At 43.7% G+C, this 21,154-nt stretch overlaps 1 protein-coding gene and 1 long non-coding RNA gene across 2 annotated transcripts in view, besides 4 other annotated features; one reads left to right on the forward strand and one right to left on the reverse strand.

The window, feature by feature from the left end:
- LOC112267932 (uncharacterized) lies at positions 1–8,024 on the reverse strand. Its single transcript, XR_002956215.2, has 2 exons — positions 7,538–8,024; positions 1–549 (listed from the first exon to the last, which is right to left on the reverse strand). It is a non-coding gene; the product is annotated as an uncharacterized LOC112267932 (long non-coding RNA).
- Positions 7,742–7,981: an enhancer, noted in NCBI's record as "active region_22640". NCBI's record gives its function as "activates an Ori minimal core promoter by ATAC-STARR-seq in GM12878 lymphoblastoid cells {active_cell/tissue: GM12878}" and the evidence as "EXISTENCE:reporter gene assay evidence [ECO:0000049][PMID:35858748]".
- Positions 7,742–8,203: a biological region, named in NCBI's record as "Sharpr-MPRA regulatory region 51".
- Positions 7,909–8,203: an enhancer, noted in NCBI's record as "tiled region #51; HepG2 Activating DNase unmatched - State 1:Tss, and K562 Activating DNase unmatched - State 1:Tss". NCBI's record gives its function as "activates a minimal TATA promoter and a strong SV40 promoter by Sharpr-MPRA in HepG2 and K562 cells {active_cell/tissue: HepG2 | K562}" and the evidence as "EXISTENCE:reporter gene assay evidence [ECO:0000049][PMID:27701403]".
- Positions 8,062–8,181: a silencer, noted in NCBI's record as "silent region_16077". NCBI's record gives its function as "represses an Ori minimal core promoter by ATAC-STARR-seq in GM12878 lymphoblastoid cells {active_cell/tissue: GM12878}" and the evidence as "EXISTENCE:reporter gene assay evidence [ECO:0000049][PMID:35858748]".
- CENPH (centromere protein H) overlaps positions 8,130–21,154 on the forward strand; it is a 20,775-nt gene continuing 7,750 nt past the window's right edge. Inside the window, exons 1-6 of the mRNA NM_022909.4 lie at positions 8,130–8,315; positions 10,342–10,397; positions 13,194–13,242; positions 14,264–14,338; positions 15,600–15,656; positions 21,053–21,116. Of these exons, the coding sequence (NP_075060.1) occupies positions 8,182–8,315; positions 10,342–10,397; positions 13,194–13,242; positions 14,264–14,338; positions 15,600–15,656; positions 21,053–21,116 (435 nt within the window). The 5' untranslated portion in view covers positions 8,130–8,181. The remainder of the gene's footprint in view (positions 8,316–10,341; positions 10,398–13,193; positions 13,243–14,263; positions 14,339–15,599; positions 15,657–21,052; positions 21,117–21,154) is intronic.

The following is a 21,154-nucleotide window of genomic DNA, read 5'->3' on the forward strand; positions in this document are numbered from 1 at the left end:
TCAAATGATAAAAATACTATGTCATGTTTATTTTTTAAATTTTGATTCCATGCTGTGCTCAAACTGTGGAGTTTTTAATAGGCAAGGTTGTGGAATTCCATTAACATTTTCAGCGTATGATATCATTTTGGCTTCTCTCTTTTGATATAGTATTCCACCTTAGAGATTTCCTATTGTGTCCGAAATTTGTTCCTTCCGGTGGGTTCTTGGTCTCGTTGACTTCAAGAATGAAGCCACGGACCCTCGCGGTGAGTGTTACAGTTTTTAAAGATGGTGTGTCCGGAGTTTATTCTTTCTGATGTTCAGGTGTATCCGGAGTTTCTTCCTTCTGGTGGGTTCATGTTCTCGCTGACTTCAGGAGTGAAGCCGCAGACCTTCGACCTTTGCAGTGAGTGTTACAGTGTTACAGCTCATAAAGACAGCACTGTTCTCTTCTCCCGGTGGGTTCATGGTCTCGCTGGCTTCAGGAGTGAAGCTGCAGACCTTCCGGTGAGTGTTACAGCTCATAAAGGCAGTGCAGACCCAAAGAGTGAGCAGCAGCAGGATTTACTGCAAAGAGCAAAACAACAAACATTCCACAGCATAGAATAGAACCCATGCCCCTGCTGGCACAGGTGGCCAGCTTTTATTCCCTTATTTCGCCCTGCCCACTTCCTGCTGATTGGTCCATTTTACAGAGTGCTGATTGGTCCATTTTTACAGAGTGCTGATTGGTGCGTTTACAAACCTTTAGCTAGACACAGAGCACTGATTGGTGCGTTTTTACACAGTGCTGATTGGTGCATTTACAAATCTTTAGTTAGACACAGAGTGCTCATTGGTGTGTTTACAATCCTTTAGCTAGACAGAAAAGTTCTCCAAGTCCTTTACCTGATTAGCTAGACAGAGAAGCCCAGTCGGCTTCATATCTCACTATGGTGGAATGAATTCTTGCTTATGGTATATACATTTAATTTGCTAATACTTCACTTACAAATTTTTGCAGCTCGGGCCAGGCGTGGTGGCTCACGCCTGTAATCCCAGCACTTTAGGAGGCTGAGAGGGGCAGATCACGAGGTCAGGAGATAGAGACCATCCTGGCTAACACTGTGAAACCCCGTCTCTACTAAAAATACAAAAAAATTAGCCGGGCATGGTGGTGGGCACCTGTGGTCCCAGCTACTCGGGAGGCTGAGGCAGGAGAATGGCATGAACCCAGGAGGCGGAGCTTGTAGTGAGCTGAGATTGTGCCACTGCACTCCAGCCTGGGCGACAGAGGGAGTCTCCATCTCGAAAAAAAAAAATTTTTTTTTTTGCAGCTCATGGAAAATTTGCTTGATTTTTGTTGCTACTGTTGTCTCATGTTTTATTTTACTAGCCTTAAGGTAGATTAGAGAGGGTTTCATCTTTTTTTTTTTTTTTTTTTTGAGACAGAATCTTGCTCTGTCGCCAGGCGGGAATGCAGTGGCACGATCTTGGCTCACTGCCTCCCGGGTTCAAGTGATTCTCGTGCCTCAGCCTCCCGAGTAGCTGGGACTACAGGCGCATGCCACCACGCCTGGCTAATTTTTTTAATTTTTATTTTAGTAGAGACAGGGTTTCACCATGTCGGCCAGGATGGTCTCTATCTCCTGACCTCATGTTCTGCCTGCCTTGGCCTCCCAAAGTGCAGGGATTACAGGTGTGAGCCACTGCGCCTGGCCGGTTTCTTCCTTTCTTTTTTTTTTTTTTTTTGAGACGGAGTTTCACTCTTGTTGCCCAGGCTGGAGTGCAATGGCACAATCTCGGCTCACTGCAACCCCTGCCTCCTGGGTTCAAGGGATTCTCCTGCCTCAGCCTCCCGAGTAGATGGGATTACAGGCATGCACCACCATGCCCGTTAATTTTGTATTTTTATTAGAGACAGGGTGTCTTCATGTTGATCAGGCTGGTCTCGAACTCCCGACCTCAGGTGATCGGGCCTCCCAAAGTGTTGGGACTTCAGGCGTGAGCCACCACACCCGGCCAGTTTCATCTTTTTAAAGCCTTAAATCATTTGAAGTTCCCATTCATTCGTTGGAAACTAGCTAAATTAAACAGTAAAGTCCTTTGTCCTGGAGCTATTAAATATAATAGGCCAGTCACAGTAGCTCACACCTGTAATCCCAGCACTTTTCAAGCCTGAGGCGGGTGTACTGCTTGAGACCAGGAGCTCAAGACCAGCCTGGGCAACATAGCGAAATCTCATCTATACAAAAATTAGCCAGGCGTACTGGAGTGCACCTGTGATTCCAGCTACCCAGGAGGCTGAGGTGGGAGAATCCCTGAGCCAGGGAAGTCAAGACTACAGTGAGCCAAGATCACGCAACTGCACTCCAGCCTGGGTGTGGGAGTGAGACCCTGTCTCAAAAAATAAAATGGTAGATATTCCATGCTTTTTTGGTCTCTAAAAATTTTTCTCTCTGTATGATATAATCGCTCTTTTAGAGATGTTCCCCTGGCCCCCGCCCCCACCCTGCAACAATAGAAAATTATGTCCATGTTTGGTGGCTCATGCCTATAATACCAGCACTTTGGGATGCTGAGGCAGGAGGATTGCTTGAGGCCAGGAGTTCAAGACTGACCTGGGCAACATAGTGAGACCCTGTCTCTAAAAAAATATAAAAAATCGAATCTTAGCACTTTAGGAGGCCTAGTCAGGAGGATTGCTTGAGCCCAGGAATTTGAGACCAGCCTGGGCAACATGGTGAGACCCTGTCTCTATTAGAAAAAATATATATATAATTTAAAAAATTAGCCCGGCAGTCATGGTGGTATGTGCCTGTAGACCTAGCTACTTAGAATGCTGAGGCAGGAGGATCACTAGAGCCCAGGAGTTTGAGGCTATAGTGAGCTATGTTCATGCTACTGCACTCCAAGCTGGGTGACACAGCAAGACCCTGCCTCTTACAAAAAAAAAAAAGAAAAAAAAATCATCCATTCTAGATTTTTAAAGTTATAGTTGTAGAGGACCATGACAAAATTAATCTCTTCTGAATGTACAGTTATATCTTCTTTCTCAGTCCTGATGTTGAGTACTTTTGTTTTCTAATCAGACTTGCCCATGAGATTATTTCATTGGCCTTTTGAAAGAACTAGTTTTTGGTGTTACCATTTCTACCATTTTTATTTTGTGGTTGTAGCTTTTACATTATTCCCACCATCTCCTTTATTTTCTAGTTTAAATATTTTCTATATTTTAGTCATGAAAGTGAGGCAATAGAATAGGGTCTGGAGGCAGGGAACCTAAGGCAGATTCACGCTGACTTCCTAGAACTAAATCAAAAGGAAAACCCCAACTTTCCACACTTAAGTAACAAATGGACCTGAGGGTACTCCCTTTGCAAACCCCCACCCCCCTTTTCCTGTGTGGCAGATGGAAAGTGGAAAGTACTTCTGATTGGCTGCTTTCTACAACCAATCATACTAATTGTGGGACACTACTTTATTTGCATGGGGTGTATACCAAGTGGCCAATGGGAAACCTCTAGAGGGTATTTAAACCCCAGAAAATTCTGTAACCTGGCTCTTGGGACCCTATGCTTGGCCTGCTACCACCCTGTGGAGTGTACTTTTGTTTGTTTGTTTGAGACAGTCTCCCTCTGTTGCCCAGGCTGTAGTGCACTGGCACAATTTCGACTCATTGCAACCTCTGCCTCCCTGGTTCAAGCAATTCTCCTGCCTCAGCCTCCCGAGTAGCTGGGATTACAGGTGTTCACCACCATGCCCAGCTGATTTTCGTATTTTTAGTAGAGAGGGGGTTTCACCATGTTGGCCAGGCTGGTCTCGAACTCCTGACCTCAAGTGATCTGCCAGCCTCGGCCTCCCAAACTGTTGGGATTACAGGCATGAGCCACCGCACCTGGCCAGTCAATATCTTTTTCTTTTTCTTTTCTTTTCTTTTTTTTTTTTTTTTTTTTTTTTGAGATGGTGTCTCTGTCACCCAGGCTGGAGTGCAGTGGCGCAATCTTGGCTCACTGCAACCTCCACCTCCCAGATTCAAGTGATTCTCCCGCCTCAGCCTCCTGAGTAGCTGGGATTACAGGCGCATGCCACTACGCCTGGCTAATTTTTGTATTTTTAGTAGAGATGCGGTTTCACCATGTTGGTCAGGCTGGTCTCGAACTCCTGACCTCGTGATCTGCCCACCGCGGCCTCCTAAAGTGCTGGGATTAAAGGTGTGAGTCACCGCACCTGGCCAGTCAATATCTTTTGAGATTTTATTTATTTATTTTTTGTCAGCTTGATGTTGGGTGTTTTTTTAAGAATTTTCAATTCTTGCCTCCTCAGAAGAAAGGATTTGACTGAGGGGCATAAGGCAGAAGAAGAAACCCAGGCAAGTTTCAGAGCAGGAGTGAAATTTTATTAAAAAGCCTCAGAACAGTAAGGAAAGGAAGGAAAGTAAAGAAAAGAAGGAAAGGTATGTGCTTTCCTTGGTTGATAAACCAAGTGTGCCTGGTGATTTTTAATGTTACTGAAGATGTGGCATGTTAAAAAGGCATCTTTCTGCTAGCACAGTGGCTCACATCTGTAATCCCATGATTGTTTTTGTTTTAAATCTTGGCCAGGCTGGTCTCGAACTCCTGGGCTCCACAGATCCTCTTGCCTCAGCCTCCCAAAGTGCTGGGATTACTGGCATGAGCCACCACACCAGCGGTGTAATCCCAGTGTTTTGGGAGGCCAGGGTAGGAGGATCAATTGAGGCCAGGAGTTTAAGACCAGCCTGGGCAACAGCGCAAGACACTGTCTCTACAAAAATTAGCCAGGCATGGTGGCCTGTGGTTCAACCTGAGTGAGACCATGACTCTAAAAATCAAAAAAAAAAAAAAAACCCTGCCACAATCCTATCACACTAAGAAAATTGGTAACTTAATATCTAATATGCAGAACATATTCAAATTTCCTCAGTTGTTCCAAAAATGTATTAGGGCTTTTATTTTTTTTCCTTTTCCAATCCAAGATTCAATCATGGTTTGTTTTTCTATATAGAACAACTGCCCTGTTTTCTGTGTTTCAGGACATAGACATGAATTGTCTTGTAGAATGTTCCTCAGTCTGGATTTCTTGTCTCATGTTTTCAGCACAGTTAAGTTCAGGTTACACATTTGGCAATATAGGTGATGTGTACAACTCATGCATTATATTAGAATCAGACATCAGATTGTTATACCATTTTTGATACCAATTTTGACCATCTGGTTAAGGTGGTAACCACTAGCTATAACATTCCTCTGAAGTGCTGGTCTCTAGTTTTAGCACTCATTAATTATACTTTCCTGACATTTATCTCCCTGGGAGTGGTAAGATGGTAGTTTTCTAATTCTATCATCTCTTCTATCTTTATTATTGACTTTTTAATGGATAGCTCCCTACCCACACCCACCCTTTCCCCCCACCCCCCGAGACAGGGTCTCACTCTGTCACCCAGGCTGGAATGCAGTGGTGCTATCTTGGCTCACTGCAACCTCAGCCTCCCTGGTTCAAGCGATTTTCCTGTCTCAGCCTCCCGAGTAGCTGGGATTACAAGCGTGTGCCCCTGTGCCTGATTAATTTTTGTATTTTTAGTAGAGATGGGGTTTCGCGATGTTGGCCATGCTGGCCTCAAACTCCTGGCCTCAAGTGATCTGCCTGCCTCGCCTTCCCAAAGTGCTAGGATTATAGGCATCAGCCACCATGCAGGGCCTTACACCCACCCTTTTTTGTTTTACTGTGAATTTTTTTTTTAATTGCGTTTTATGACCCTTTATGGTGGTGGTTCTCAAAGTGTCCTCCTCAATAAGCAAGAGCAACTTTACCTGGGAACTTGTTACAAATGCAAAACAATCCTAGAGACACCCAGAAATGTGTTTTAACAAGGTCTCCTCCGAATTCTCACGGTTGGATAACCATTGCATTATTATTTTTATAAAAAAAAATTTTGAGACAGTCTTTTTTGTATTTTTAGTAGAGATGGGGTTTTACCATGTTGGCCAGGCTGGTCTCAAACTACTGACCTCAGGTGATCTGCTCACTTTGGCCTCCCAAAGTGGTGGGATTACAGGCGTGAGCGACTGCACATTGCATTATTTTTGTCCCAAATGTGAGCAGTGGAGACACCTGATAGGCAACTGCTTAAAAGGATAAGATTGTGGTGAGACAGTGGAAGGCATCCACTAAGTGGTAAAGAGAAAAAGTTAACAATGGGATCATCCTTTTTGTAAAACAAAATGAAAGGAAACAAGAAAATGTTCCATAAGTTTACATGTAGGAATAGCAAACCTAATGCCTGATTTTACATCCTGTGCTTTTTTTTTTTTTTGAGACAGGGTCTCACTCTGTCACCCAGGATGGAGAGCAGTGGTGCGATCATAGGTCACTGCAGTCCTCAACGGCTGGGGCCCAAGTGATCCTCCCATCTCAGCCTCCTGAGTAGCTGGGACCACAGGTCTAAGTCACCACACCTGTTGTTTTTTTGTTTGTTTGTTTGTTTTTGTTTTAAGTAGAAACGAGGTCTCACTATGCTGCCCAGGCTGTTCTCCTGACTTCAAGCGATCCTTCCGCTTTGGCTTCCCAAAGTGCTGGGATTACAGGCGTGGGCCATCGCCACCAGTCCATTCTGTGTCTTTTGAACTGTTTTTTTGTTTGTTTGTTTGTTTTTCGAGAAGGAATCTTGCTCTGTTGCCCAGGCTGGCGTGCATCTCTGGTGTGATCTCGGCTCACTGCAACCTCTGCTTCCCGGGATCAAAGGATTCTCCTGCCTCGGCCTCCCCAGTAGCTGGGATTACAGGTGCCCACCACCACGCCTGGCTAATTTTGTATTTTTAGTAGAGACGAGGTTTCTCCATGTTGGTCAGGCTGGTCTCCAACTCCTGACCTCGAGATCCTCCCCCCTCGGCTTCCCAAAGTGCTGGGATTATAGGTGTGAGCCACAGCGCCCGGCTTTTTTTTTTTTTTTTGAGACGGAGTTTCACTCTGTCACCCAGGCTGAAGTGCAGTGGCGCGATCTCAGCTCACTGCAACCTCCGCCCCCCCGGGTTCAAACGATTCTCCTGCCTCAGCCTCCTGAGTAGCTGGGATTACAGGCGCCCGCCACCACACGCAGCTAACTTTTGTATTTTTAGTAGAGACGGGGTTTCACCATGTTGGCCAGGCTGGTCTTGAATTCCTGACTTCAGGTGATCCACCCGCCTCAGCCCCCAAAGTGCTGGGAGTACAGGGGTGAGCCACCACGCCCAGCGAATTTAACTTTTGTCAGGAGCCGTATTACATTGACAATGGAGAGGAAGAAAACAGCACAGTATGATCAAGTTTAACTAGTGGGTAATTAGCTGTAAAAGAACTCTCGACTCTTGTTCAAAGAGGTTCAAGCTGCTGTGCTTGTGCGGCAAGGACAGTGTCCAAATGAAAAACTACAAATCAGTCATCTGTCCTTCATTTTCTCCATTCCCCCCACTCACTACACAGCTAAGAAAGCTCAAAGGTACCCTGCAGACACTCAAAACTTGAGGGCACGCAACTCTCAGTTACGAGTGGTGGCAATCATAATGACAGAATGAAGTACCAGTGCAAGAAACTGGAAGCGTGTGGATGTCTCCAGGCTGGAAGTCTGGGTTCGAAATGTCTGCAATGCCTCGCACTTGTGGCCCGTCCCTGATCTTCAGAAGCCACTGGTTTCTCCGCCAAACAAAGGGTATGCACCTCATGGGCTCAGGTCAAAAAAGTCTTCTAAACAACCCTCTAATGTTTATCTTTCACAGCCTGCCGGGCACACCCATCTTCAAAGGCAGAGGACGGAAAAGTGCCAAGATGGATGGACATATGGCTGTCGCCGCACTCCCGTGTCCAAGCGCCAAGGCCGAATGACCACTTAGGTCAGGAGATTTTTCCCCTCCAGGCTGCTGTTCCCGGGAGATGTCCCAACGTCTCTAGTCCAGCCCCTAACTCAGCACTCTACACATCCGACGCTTAACGAAAGCTATTCCAACTTTTTACCAGCCGTCTGCAGTTATTTTCACCAGTAGAGCCCGGATGAAAGAGGAGCCCGTAGTAACCACGGCAACCGAAAAACAAGGCGGAAAGGGTGGGGCCCTGGGCGGAAGGGGCGGGGCCCTCGGGCCTTTTCCCGGCGTCCATTTAGTGGCGGGAAAAGCGACCTTTTCTGAGCGCGTTTGCCTGTTGAGTGGTAGCCTTTCCCCTCAACCAGCAATGGAGGAGCAGCCCCAGATGCAAGACGCCGACGAGCCCGCGGACTCCGGAGGGGAAGGCCGGGCAGGCGGGCCACCGCAGGTCGCCGGCGCCCAGGCGGCGTGCAGCGAGGACCGCATGACCCTGCTCCTCAGGTTGTTCCCTTTGGCCTCCTCAGCCGGGGCCAAGTGGGCGTTGTGGCCCGGAACTCCGCCCTTGCTCAGAAGGGCTAGGGTTCGAATTCACGCTCGGTCACGTCAGGTCTCCGTGATTGCCTCATTCACTTAAACTGTTGAAGCTCTTTCTTCATCAGCGAAAAGGAGAGAAAAATGACCCCCTGGAGAGAGGTTACAAGGGTTAAATGAGATAGTCTAGGAAAGTGTTGAGCACAGTGCCCCGGGCCCTTAGAAGCTGTAATTTCTCCTCCTGTTTCCCCGCCCTCCCCCTACCTCTCTGGTTTACAGACAAATTGAATGCCAGAGCTAAACTGGAAGGAAGGTGCCCCTACCATTTCTTTTAGAACTACGACCCTTTGTAACCCAGAAGCTTTATATGTTATAAATTCTACTAAGCGGACGGTGTTTATACTTTTCCACTAAGCGGTTGCTGGGGAAGATTCGATGAGAAGGGACATTCGTCTTCTAAACTAGTGAGCAGGAGAAGGTCCTGGGCCAAATCTGCCTAACTGCCTATTTTTGTGTGACCACTCAAGCTAAGAATAGTTTTTATGTTTAAGTGTTGCAGGGAAAAGATCATAAAAATATTTCATAACACGTGAACTCTATTAGAAATTCAAGTTTCAGTTTCCATAAACAGTTTTATTGGAGTACAACTTTCCTGCCACAAGGGTGGAATTGAGTAGCTAAAACAGAGACCGTGTGACTCACAAACCCTAAAAAATTTACTATCAGGTCCTTTACAGAAAAAAATTTGCGGTCCTCTGTTCTATATCATAACAGAGGTAGTTTTAAAAAAATCATTATTGGCTGAGCGCGGTGGCTCACGCCTGTAATCCCAACACTTTGGGATGCCGAGGCAGACGGATCACCTTAAGTCAGGAGTTCAAGACCAGCCTGGCCAACCATGGCCAACATGGTGAAACCCCGTCTCTACTAAAAATACAAAAATTAGCTGGGCGTGGTGGCGGGCGCCTGTAATCCCAGCTACTCAGGAGGCTGAGGCAAGAGAATTGATTGAACCCGGGAGGCAGAGGTTGCAGTGAGCAGAAGATTGTGCCATTGCACTCCAGCCTGGGCAATAGAGCAAGACTCTTGACTCAAAAAAAAAAAATTAATTACCATTTTTTTCTTTCTTAAATGTTTTGAAAAATGAAAAGATGTCTATTTCTTTTTTATTGTTTTTTCCTCCTCACCCTTGCTGTCATCTTAAATTACCATTTGCTCATAGTTTTTCTACTTATGTATGATTTTTGGATTTATAGAACAACTGAAAAACTATATGAATTAGTAATCCAAGGATTAGTATCTTTGTTATTTTTCTGTATCTCCTGATAAAAATCTGTGTTTGTAAATACAGTGGTTTGGGGTTTAATCATTTTGGTCTATTCTTTGTATAGCATCCTCAGTTCAGTCTGGCCTATTAAAAATAATCTTAAGCGGCCGGGTGCGGTGGCTCACGCCTGTAATCCCAGCACTTTGGGAGGCCGAGGCGGGTGGATCACGAGGTCAGGAGATCAAGACCATCCTGGCTAACACGGTGAAACCCCATCTCTACTAAAAATACAAAAAATTAGCCGGGCATGGTGGCAGGCGCCTGTAGTCCCAGCTGCTTGGGAGCCTGAGGCAGGAGAATGGCGTGAACCCGGGAGGCGGAGCTTGTGGTGAGCCGAGATTGCGCCACTGCACTCCAGCCTGGGCAAGAGTGCAAGACTCCGTCTCAAAAAAAGAAAAAAATCTTAAACACCAATTTTTTAACTTTTCCTGACAGATGCTGTTTTCCCAGTGTATTCCATTTTGTGTCTTCCTCTGAGGCCTTAAAGTTCTTTATACCCATTTTAAATAAAATGAGGCCAAATTAGAAGTTTGTAATTAGGAGTTTAATTATTTATATTTATTTTGTTGTATCAGCTTCCGAAAAAGAATGAGTTGGTTCGTCATGTGGTAATGAGTAAAACCTTAATCAATAAATATGTGACTTTATATTCTCTTTATCTGTTTTCAGGCTGAGAGCACAGACAAAACAACAACTCTTAGAATATAAATCAATGGTTGATGCAAGTAAGTATTTTCATTTTCAAATTAGGGTTTTGTTGTTTGTTTGTTTGTTTTTTTGAGACAGGGTCTTGCTATCACCCAGGCTGTAATGTAGTGGCGCAGTCTCTGGTTTACTGCAGCCTCAGCCTCCTGGGCTCCAGCAATCCTCCCACCTCAGCCTCCCAAGTAACTGGGACCACAGGCACATGCTACTGCGCCCGTCTAATTTTCTGTATTTTTTTTGTAGACACAGGGTTTTGCCACCACACCTGGCCTCAAATAAGATTTTGTGAGTTTGATGATTAACAGTACTCGAGTGAAAATAAAATTAACTTTACCAAAAATTGTTTATATATGTTATAGTGTGGCAAAACTGGTAAACATGCAAGATATTTATGAAGTATGCTAAGTGTGCTGAAGGAAACAAAGGCATGATAAGAGGGAGGGGCTTCTTTTCATAGGGATGGCTTCTCTAAGAAGATGATTTTAGAGCTCAGATCCAAATGAGAAGAAAGTTTACGTTCCAATAGTCTTTTTGTTCTCTATATAGCTAGTACCATTTTTAAGGGATTGTGACATCCAAAAACTAGATTTAGTTAACACTGTAGAATTTCTATACCTAGGAGACGACAGATGTAAGGCAGGCCACAGGAAGTTTAGTTGTAGCCTTTGAAAGAAGATGTTTATCTAAAATTGACTATCTGCTCTTTTAGAGGCCAAGACAAGAAGATCACTTGAAGCTAAGAGTTTGAGATTAGCCTGGGAAACAAAGTGAGACCTCGTCCCTACAAAAATAAAAAAAACGTAGCCAGATATGGTGATACATACCTATAGTCCCAGCTGGGACTCACTACAACATCCAACTCCTGGGCTCAAGTGATTGAGTGATTGTACTGTACTCCACTCCACTGGGCAACAGAGTGAGACTGTCAGGCAATCAACAGAGAAATAAGTATTGATTCTTTTACCATTTAAAAAATATATATATGGCTGGGCTTGGTAGCTCACACCTGTAATCCCGGCACTTTGGGAGGCCGAGGTGGGCGGATCACCTGAGGTCAGGAGTTCGAGACCAGCCTGACCAACGTAGAGAAACCCCGTCTCTACTAAAAATACAAAATTAGCTGGGCGTGGTGGTGCATGCCTATAAGCTCAGCTACTCGGGGAGGCTGAGGCAGGAGAATCGCTTGAACCTGGGAGGTGGAGGTTGCAGTGACGCGAGATCACGCCATTGCACTCTGGCCTGGGCAACAAGAGCAAAACTCCGTCTCAAAAACAAAAACAAACAAAATATATATATATATACACACACACATATACGTATATGTATATATATGTATATATATGTGTGTGTATGTGTATATATGTATATATATGTATATGTATATATATGTGACTGAGACTTTATTGGTTAAAGGATTGTTTTTTACAATAAAGGCATCTATTTTAAGGGTACAATTTGATGAGTTTTGACAAATTTCTAAATCTGTATAATCACTACCACAATCAAGATACAGAACATTTTCGGCTGAGCATGGTGGATCAATCTGTAATCCCAGCACTTTGAGGGGCCAAGGCGAGAGGATTGCTTGAGCCCAGGGCAACCAGCCTGGGAAACATAGCGAGACCCCCACCTCTAAAAAAAACAATTGGCCAGATGTGGTACCATGTGCCTGTAGTCCCACCCAGCTGAGGTGGGAGGATTACTTAAGCCTGGGATATCAAGGCTGCAGTGAGCCGAGATCACACCACTACACTACAGCCTGGGTGACAGTGACAGGAGACCCTGTCTCCCCCAAAAAAAGATACAGAACATTTTCTTTTTTTGTTTTTTCTGTTTTTTTTTTTTTTTTGAGACGGGGTCTTGTTCTGTCGCCCAGGCTAGAGTGCAGCGGCGCAATCTTAGCTCACTGCAACCTCCGCCTCCCGGATTCACTGCCTCAGCCTCTCAAGTAGCCAGGATTACAGGCACCTGCCACCATGGCCGGCTAATTTTTGTATTTTTAGTAGAGACGGGTTTCACCATGTTGGCCAGGCTGGTCTCTTAACTCCTGACCTCAGGTGATCCACCTGCCTCGGCCTCCCAAAGTACTGGGATTACAGGCATGAGCCATCACACCCCTGGCCACACGTGGCTTTTTAAAGCTAATTAAAATGAAATAAAATTTAAAATCAAGTACATATCAAATGCTCAGTTGCCACATGTGGCCAGTGGCTATCCTATGGGATAGCATAGATAGGAAACATTTCCATCATCACAGGAAGTTCTAGGCTTTTTTCTGTACCATTGAGGTATTTGTTGATCCCTACACAAGTGCCACATTGTCTTTGTTGGTTGATGTTTTTTTTTTTGAGATGATCTCACTCAGCCACCCAGGCTGGAGTGCAGTAGCAAGATTTTGGCTCACTGCAACCCCAACCTCGTGGGCTCAAGCGATCCTCCCACCTCAGCCTCCCGAGTAGCTGGGACTACAGGCATGCACTATTGTGCCTGGCTAATTTTCAGTAGAGACAGTTTCACTATGTTGCCCAGGCTGGTCTCAAAAGGTTAATCATCATTGAGATGGGCTGTAAATGTAAAATACAGACAGAATAATGTGAAATATGTCATTAGTAATGTTAAACTGACTGCACATTGAAATAATATTTTTGATCTATTGGGTTAAATAAGTATATTAAAATTAAATTTCACTGTTTCTTTTCTGTAATGTGAAAACGACATTTTAAATGATGTCTTTTGCCCTTGTGGCTTACATTATATTCCTTTTGGACAGCACCTCTCTAAAATGTTAGTAACTTCAAAAAATTATTTATTTGCAGGTGAAGAAAAAACTCCAGAACAAATTATGCAAGAAAAGCAAATCGAAGCGTATGTTATATTTAAAAATTTTGTTTATGGTCTTTACTAAGATTTAATCATATTTTCTATTATTTTGTTGTTAGATGGAGTCTCACTATCATGCAGGCTAGAGTGCAGTGGTGTGATCATAGTTCATTGAAGCCACAACCTCCTGGGCTCAAGGGATCCACTGGCCTCAGCCTCCTGAGTAGCTGGAACTACAGGCTCATTGTACCACACCTGACTTTCTTTCTTTTTTTTTTTTTTTTTTAAATATTTTAGGGCCAGGCACGGTGACTCATGCCTGTAATCCCAGCACTTTGAGAAGCCAAGGTGGGTGGATCACCCGAGGTCGGGAGTTCGAAACCAGCCTGACCAACATGGAGAAACCCCATCTCTACTGAAAATACAAAATTAGCCGGGCGTGATGGCACATGCCTGTAATCCCAGCTACTCGGGAGGCTGAGGCAGGAGAATTGCTTGAACCCGGGAGGCGGAGGTTGCGGTGAGCCAAGATTGCGCCATTGCACTCCAACCTGGGCAATGAGCGAAACTCCGCCTCAAAAATATATATATATTTTGTAGAGATGGGGCCTCATTTTGTTGCCCAGGCTGTTCTCAAACTCCTGGCCTCAAGTAATCCTCCACCTTGGCCTCCTAAAGTTCTGGGATTGTAGGCAAGAGCCACTGAGCCTGGTCATAATCTCATTTTTCTATGCTATAGCATTGTTTTTATTTTTCCTTTCCTTTATTTTTCCAAATAACTTGTGATGCATATATTGGGAAGTTGTTAATTTGGGATGGAGATTTATATGTACACAAGTGATCACATTAGAACTTTCTGGCCTCCCTTTTTATAAGATACTAAGTGAAGTAGCTGAGGGGCATTAGTTTACCAAATGTGTAAATACACATTGGTATATTGAGCCTGTAGAATACTTGTATTTAGATAGAGGTGTTTTACTTTTTTAAGGGCTTATTTTATACATTTATTTCAATAATGTCTTTTTCTGATATTGCTGAAATTCTTTTGCTCATGTTTCTTTGATAGTAAAATTGAAGACCTGGAAAATGAAATTGAAGAGGTAAAAGTTGCTTTTGAGATAAAAAAGCTTGCATTAGACAGGTAATTATTACATTTTAAATATAAGCATTGTGAACTGACTGCAAAATGGGTATGAGGGGAAAGTGGAGGGAATCTTTTAACTGGGCTGAGTGAATTAGTCAAGCACAGTGATGATTAGATAATGGTCACACAAAATTTTTATTTTATTATTGTTATAATTTTTTAATTTGACAAGGTCTCACTCTTGCCCACGCTGGAGTACAGCGACATGATCACTGCTCACTGTAGCCTCAACCTCCCAAGCTCAAGCAATCCTCCTGCCTCAGCCTCTGGAGCAGCTGGGACTACAGGCATGCAAAACCACGCTTGGCTAATTTTTTTTATTTTTTATGGAGATGGGGTCTCACTGTGCCCAGGCTGGTCTTGAACTCCTAGGCTCAGGCGATCTTCTCACCTCAGCCTCCCCAAAATGCTGGGATTACACAAGCCCAGCCTGGTCACACAGATTTTGAGCCCTGAGAGAAAATTTGCATTACAGATGCTCCTCAATTTGCAGTGGGTTTAGGTCCTGATAAACCCATTGTAAGTTGAAAATATGGTAAGTGAAAAATGCATTTAATACACCTAACCTGGCTGGGCGCGGTGGCTCGCGCCTGTAATCCCAGCACTTCGGGAGGCCAAGGTGGGTGGATCACCTGAGGTCAGGAGTTCAAGACCAGCCTGACCAACAATGCAAAACCCTGTCTCTACTAAAAATACAAAAATTAGCCAGGTGTGGTGGTGTGTGCCTGTAATCCCAGCTACTAGGGAGGCTGAGGCAGGAGAATCACTTAAACCCAGGAGGCAGAGGTTGCAGTGAGCCGAGATGACGCCACTGTGCACTCCATTGTGGGTGACAGAGCAAGATTCCCTCTCAAAAAACAAAAAAAAAGTTTTAAAGTTTATAGTCATATATGGTTTTGTATTCCCTAAGTCCTTCATTTCAGGCCCATCCTGATCTTTGTAGTGCCTTAATCCTTCCAGTGGCTTTGCACAAAAGTAGATGGTTCAGAGAACTCATTCAGCTCAGGCCAGGTTTCAGATTCACCTGGCCCCTCATTCTGGCAGTGTATACCCACACGCAACAGCCCTATCCATCTTGGTGTTATTTCATATTTTTGTGTTTTATTTCTCAAAGTATTTCTCTTATAATAATATTTTAAAACCTACTTCTGTTTTATGTATATTTGAAGGGAAATCAATCTTTTTCATGTTTTGAATTTTTTTAATGTACCACAAATGTTATCCATGTTTTATAATGCAAGCTTTTTCCCTCTCATAGGATGAGACTTTCAACTGCACTTAAAAAAAACCTGGAGAAAATTAGCAGACAGTCTAGGTATGATTTTTTTTTTCTCTGGATTCGGTAAGGATGGGATCTGCATAGTGACTTTAGTTTTGTGAATTTTAAAAAATTATTACTGCCAACTACCTTTGTCTGGGGAATAAGGAAAGTGATGAAATTTTTGTAGGTCCTCCCCAGAATTACAGCAACTTTTATAGTTCTAATTATATTTTGTTCCGTATGGATTGTAACTGTAAGAAGCAGAAGAGTTTATCCAGAAGATTGGAAAATTTTAAGGGAAAGCTTTAAAAGTTCATTTTCTTCAGTATTTACTATAAATCAGGAACAGGGCTATCTCATTTAATCCATCCAAAACACAGTGAGATAGGAAATATACTCCTCATTTTTTATTGGTAGAAATGAGCTTATTCGGATCCAACAATTTTCCAAGGGATATAATATAAAGACTAGCAGGTCTCAGCAAACTGTCACAAGGACAAAAAACCAAACACCGCATGTTCTCACTCATAGGTGGGAATTGAACAATGAGAAAACATGGACACAGGAAGGGGAACATCACACACTGGGGACTGTTGTGGGGTTGGGGGAGTGGGGAGGGATAGCATTAGGAGATATACCTAATGCTAAATGACGAGTTAATGGGTGCAGCACACCAACATGGCACATGTATACATATGTAACAAACCTGCACGTTGTGCACATGTACCTTAAAACTTAAAGTATAATAATAATAAAATTTTTTAAAAAATAAAAATTATTATGAGCAAAAAAAAAAAAGACTAGCAGGTCAGGTCCTCTGTATCCTGGTGTCTGGCCTCAGAGGTCTTACCTATGATCTTTTTTTTTTTTTTTTTTTTTTTTTTTGAGACAGTCTTGCTCTGTCGCCCAGGCCGGAGTGCAGTGGCACGATCTCGGCTCACTGCAACCTCTGCCTCCCGGGTTCACGCCATTCTCCTGCCTCAGCCTCCCGAGCAGCTGGGACTACAGGCGCCCACCACCACGCCTAGCTAATTTTTTGTATTTTTAGTAGAGACGGGCTTTCACTGTGTTAGCCAGGATGGTCTCGATCTCCTGACCTCGTGATCCACCCGCCTCGGCCTCCCAAAGTCCTGGGATTACAGGTGTGAGCCACCGCACCCGGCCTCTTACCTATGATCTTATCTCCCAAAGTTCTTGTGATAAAATATCCCCTTCCCTTGAGCACCAGAAAAATTCCTGCATGGGTATAAGCACTTTTTTTTTTTGGAGACGGAATCTTGCTCTGTCACTCAGACTGGAGTGCAGCTCACTCCAACCTCCATCTCTGCGGTTCAAGCAATTCTCGTGCCTCAGCCTCCTGAATAGCTGGGATTACAGGCACCTGCTACAACTCCCAGGTAATTTTTGTATTTTTAGTAGAGACGGGGTTTCACTATGTTGGCCAGGCTGGTCTGACCTAGGCACTTCTATCTTGAGTATCTTAGCCCACACTGCTACACATTTTCCCATATTCCAGCTAAATCCAGGATTACATAAATCCAAAAATCTGAATTTGAACACTCATAACTTTTTCTCTCCCATAAAAGGAGAGTTTAGCTTGGGTACAGAGGCTCATGCCTGTAATCCCAGCACTTTGGGAGCCTGAGGCAGGAGGATAGCTTGAGCCCAGGCATTTGAGATCAGCCTGGGCAACATAGGGAGGCCTCATCTCTACAAAAAATTTTTAAAAATTAGCCAGGCATGGTGGAGCCACCAGTAGTCCTTGCTACTCCAGAGGCTGAGGGGAGAGGATCAGCCTCCTGCCTTGATTCTAGGAGGTCATGGGGCTGCAGTAAGCTGTGATCTTGCCACAGCACCTTAGCCTGGGCAATAGTAAGACCCCATCTCAAAAACAAAAAAAAAAAAGACATTCTTGAGTTAAAGGTGTGGGGTGCAGGAGAGCAGGACAGATTCATCACATTGTTACTGAAATGTCAGGGCTTTGGTCTAGGTCCTGTTGCTTGCTGCACAGAAATGTAATCACTGACATGAGTGTTGTCAGGAAGAAGGCTTTGAGTACTGTAGCCAAAGAGAGGGGAGATCAGTCTCATCTCCTAGATGGACTAAAATTAAGGAGGTGTTTTGTTTTGTTTTGTTTTTTTGAGACAGGGCCTCACTCTGTTGCTCAGGCTGGAGTGCAGTGGCGTGATCCTAGCTCACTACCACCTTCACCTCCCAGGTTCAAGTGATCCACCTCAGCCTCCCAGGTAGCTGGGACTACAGGTGCCCACCACCGTGCCTGGCTAATTTTTGTATTTTTTGTAGAGATGGGGTTTTGCCATGTTGCCCAGGCTGGTCGCGAACTGCTGAGCTCAAAGGGATCCACCTGCGTTGGCCTTCCAAAGTGCTGAGATTACAGGTGTGAACCACCACACCCTGCCAAATTAAGGGTTTATATAGCAGGGAAGATATGTACCCATGTATGGGAAGACAGGAATTAGGGAGGGGTAAGGAAGAGGAGTTAGTCAATAGGAAGCAGGTTAGGCAATCATGATGGGTGAGGGGTCTGATGTCTTATTGTCTAGAGGGTGTGATCTTATAAGTTTCAGTTCCTTGATACTATCTGGGAGTCCTGATGGTTTCCTGAGAAGGGAACTCAGGTAAGACAGTTGTAACTTTCTCAAGCTTTAAGACTGGGAGGGTCAGTTTCTATGTTTATTCAAAAGAAATCATAAACATCAGTTCTGTGGGACAATTGGGCCAGTTTCACTGTTGACACCAAAAAACAGAAGGGTCAGGCCGGTGCGGTGGCTCACGCCTGTAATCCCAGCACTTTGGGAGGCCGAGGCAGGCGGATCGTCTGAGATCAGAAGTTCAAGACCAGCCTGGCCAACATGGTAAAACCCTATCTCTACTAAAAATGCAAAAATTAGCCGGGCGTGGTGGCAGGTACCTGTAATCCCAGCTACTCGGGAGGCTGAGGCAGGAAAATCGCTTGAACCCAGGAGGCGAAGGTTGCAGTGAGCTGAGATTGTGCCACTACACTCCAGCCTGGGCAACAGAGTGAGACTCTGTCTCAAAAAAAAAAAAAAAAAAAAACAGAAAGGTCAAATAGGCTGAGGCAGTGTTTTATTAGCACATTTTAAAGTTTATAACTGTTAAAAAAAATTAATTGGGATGCAACTGGAATGCCATTAGGCAGAACCATCTTTAGCCTTGAGCTCCATCACCTTGGGATTCCTATGTAAGCCTGATGTAAACAGTAAAATGGAACTTAAGCTTACCCAATGAGAAACTGCCAACTAACTTCTAACTAGAGATGATCCACTTTAACCAACCAATTACATTTTGTCTTCTATGAACACCTTATAAAAGCTTCCTCACTCAACTCCCACAGTAGAGCACTTAACAGCTTATAATCCTGTGCTGCCAGATGCATGAATTGTCTTCTCAAATAAACTTGTTAGATTTTAATATGCCTAAATTTATCTTTTAAGACAACCAAATATAGCTGTAAATAGTAGAAAAATGAGTTCAGCTCTCCCAGGTTTGTGCATATTCCCCTTTTGACCTTCTCAGTTAGTTGCTTCTACAGTGTTTTTCACACCTGGCTGATTATCAGAATAATGTCTATTATAGTGATCACATTGTTGGTCCTATCCCAAACTTTCTGAATCAGCGTATCTTTTTTTTTTTTTTTTTTTTTTTTTTTTTTTTTTGAGACGGAATCTTGCTCTGTCACCCAGGCTGGAGTGCAGTGGCACGATCTGCTTGGCTCACTGCAACCTCTGCCTCCAGGTTCAAGCGATTCTCCTGCCTCGGCCTCCTGAGTAGCTGGGATTACAGACACACACCATCACACCTGGCTAATTTTTGTATTTTTAGTAGAGATGGGGTTTTGCCATGTTGGCCAGGCTAGTCTCGAGCTTCTGACTTCAAGGGATCCACTGTACCTGACCTTTTTTTTTTTTTTAAATAGAGATGTGGTCTTGCTATATTGCCCAGGTCTCAAAACTCCTGAGCTCAAGCAATCCTCCTGCCTCAGCCTCCAAAAGTGCTGGGATTACAGGCATGAGCCACTGAACCAGGCCCCGAATCAGCATATCTGAAGGTCAGGAACTAGGAATCCTTACTTAACGAACCTCCCAGATGACTGTGGCACTCTGAAGTATGAGAGCCACTGCTCTGCGCAGTCTTATTCCATACTGTTTTGCTCCAGCCATACCAAACTACTTGATCTAGGCAATTACTTCATATCCTTATTCCACCCTGTGCATAACTCTGGTTCATATTTGTTACTGCGCTATAGTATGATTGTGGATTTATTTTTCTCCACTAGATTCTTTCCTCTTTGAAAACAGATACTGTGTTTTATTTTATTTTACATTCCTGGCACCTGGCATAGTTCTTGAAAGCATGTAGTAAGTACTCAAAAATATTTGTTAAAGAAGTAAAAAAGCAGTTTGTTCCTTGAAACTATTCTGTATGCTGCAATAATGGTGGATGCATGTAATTATACATATGTCAAAACCCAAAGAATGGGTGGGGCCTCAGTAGCTCATGTCTATAATCCTACCATTTTGGGAGGCTGAAGAGGGAGGATTGCTTCAACCCTGGAGTTCCAGACCAGTCTGGGCAACATAGGGAGACCCCGTCTCTACAAAAAATGTAAAAATTAGTGGGACATGGTAGTGTATGCCTATAATCCCAGCTGCTTCTGAGGCTGAGGCAGGATGATCGCTTGAGCCCAGGAGGTGAGGTTGCAGGAAGCTGTGATTGTGCCAGTGCACTCCAGCCTGGGTGGCAGAGCGAGACCCTGTCACAGAAAACAAACCCGTAGGCTATACACAAGCAAGAGTGAACCTTGATGTAAAATCCGGACTTTGGGTAACAATGATGTGTCGATATAGGTTTGTTGATTGTAACAAATGTGCCACTTTGGTGTAGGGGATGTTGATAATGGGAGAGGCTATGCATGTGTCAGGGGTAGGGTGTATATGAGAAATCTCTGTACCTTCCACTCGGTTTTGCTGTGAAACTAAAATTGCTCTAAAAAATACATTCAAAACAAAAGCAGCTTGTTAAAATTGCTCTAAAAAATACATTCAAAATAAAAACTAAAATTGCTCTAAAAAATAAATTCAAAACAAAAGCAGCTTGTTAGGAAGTTATTAGGGTGTTTCCTCTCTAAATATGAAATTTTTAGAAATGTTCCCACATTTTTAAATTTGGTATTCTTCAATGTCTGTGACCAAACATTTTTCTAGGGAAATGCATATCTAGTTTTAACAGAAATTTAGTTTACATCAAACTTTTCCAGATTTATTTTGTTAAACTGACTTTTTATCCAAGTGTACGGTGGATTTAATGAAAGTAAGTTTTCACTCATTGATTCCTTCATTAATGACAGCTATTATTTTTAATTAAGTTACAAATAACCTTAATAAATCATCTTTTTGTTTCCTTTTCAGTGTGCTCATGGATAACATGAAACACCTATTAGAGCTAAATAAATTAATAATGAAATCACAGCAGGTAAACTTACACATTAGGCTGATTATGCATTCTCATGA

This window comes from Homo sapiens, chromosome 5 (genome assembly GCF_000001405.40).
Source record: "Homo sapiens chromosome 5, GRCh38.p14 Primary Assembly".
Classification (NCBI taxonomy): domain Eukaryota; kingdom Metazoa; phylum Chordata; class Mammalia; order Primates; family Hominidae; genus Homo; species Homo sapiens.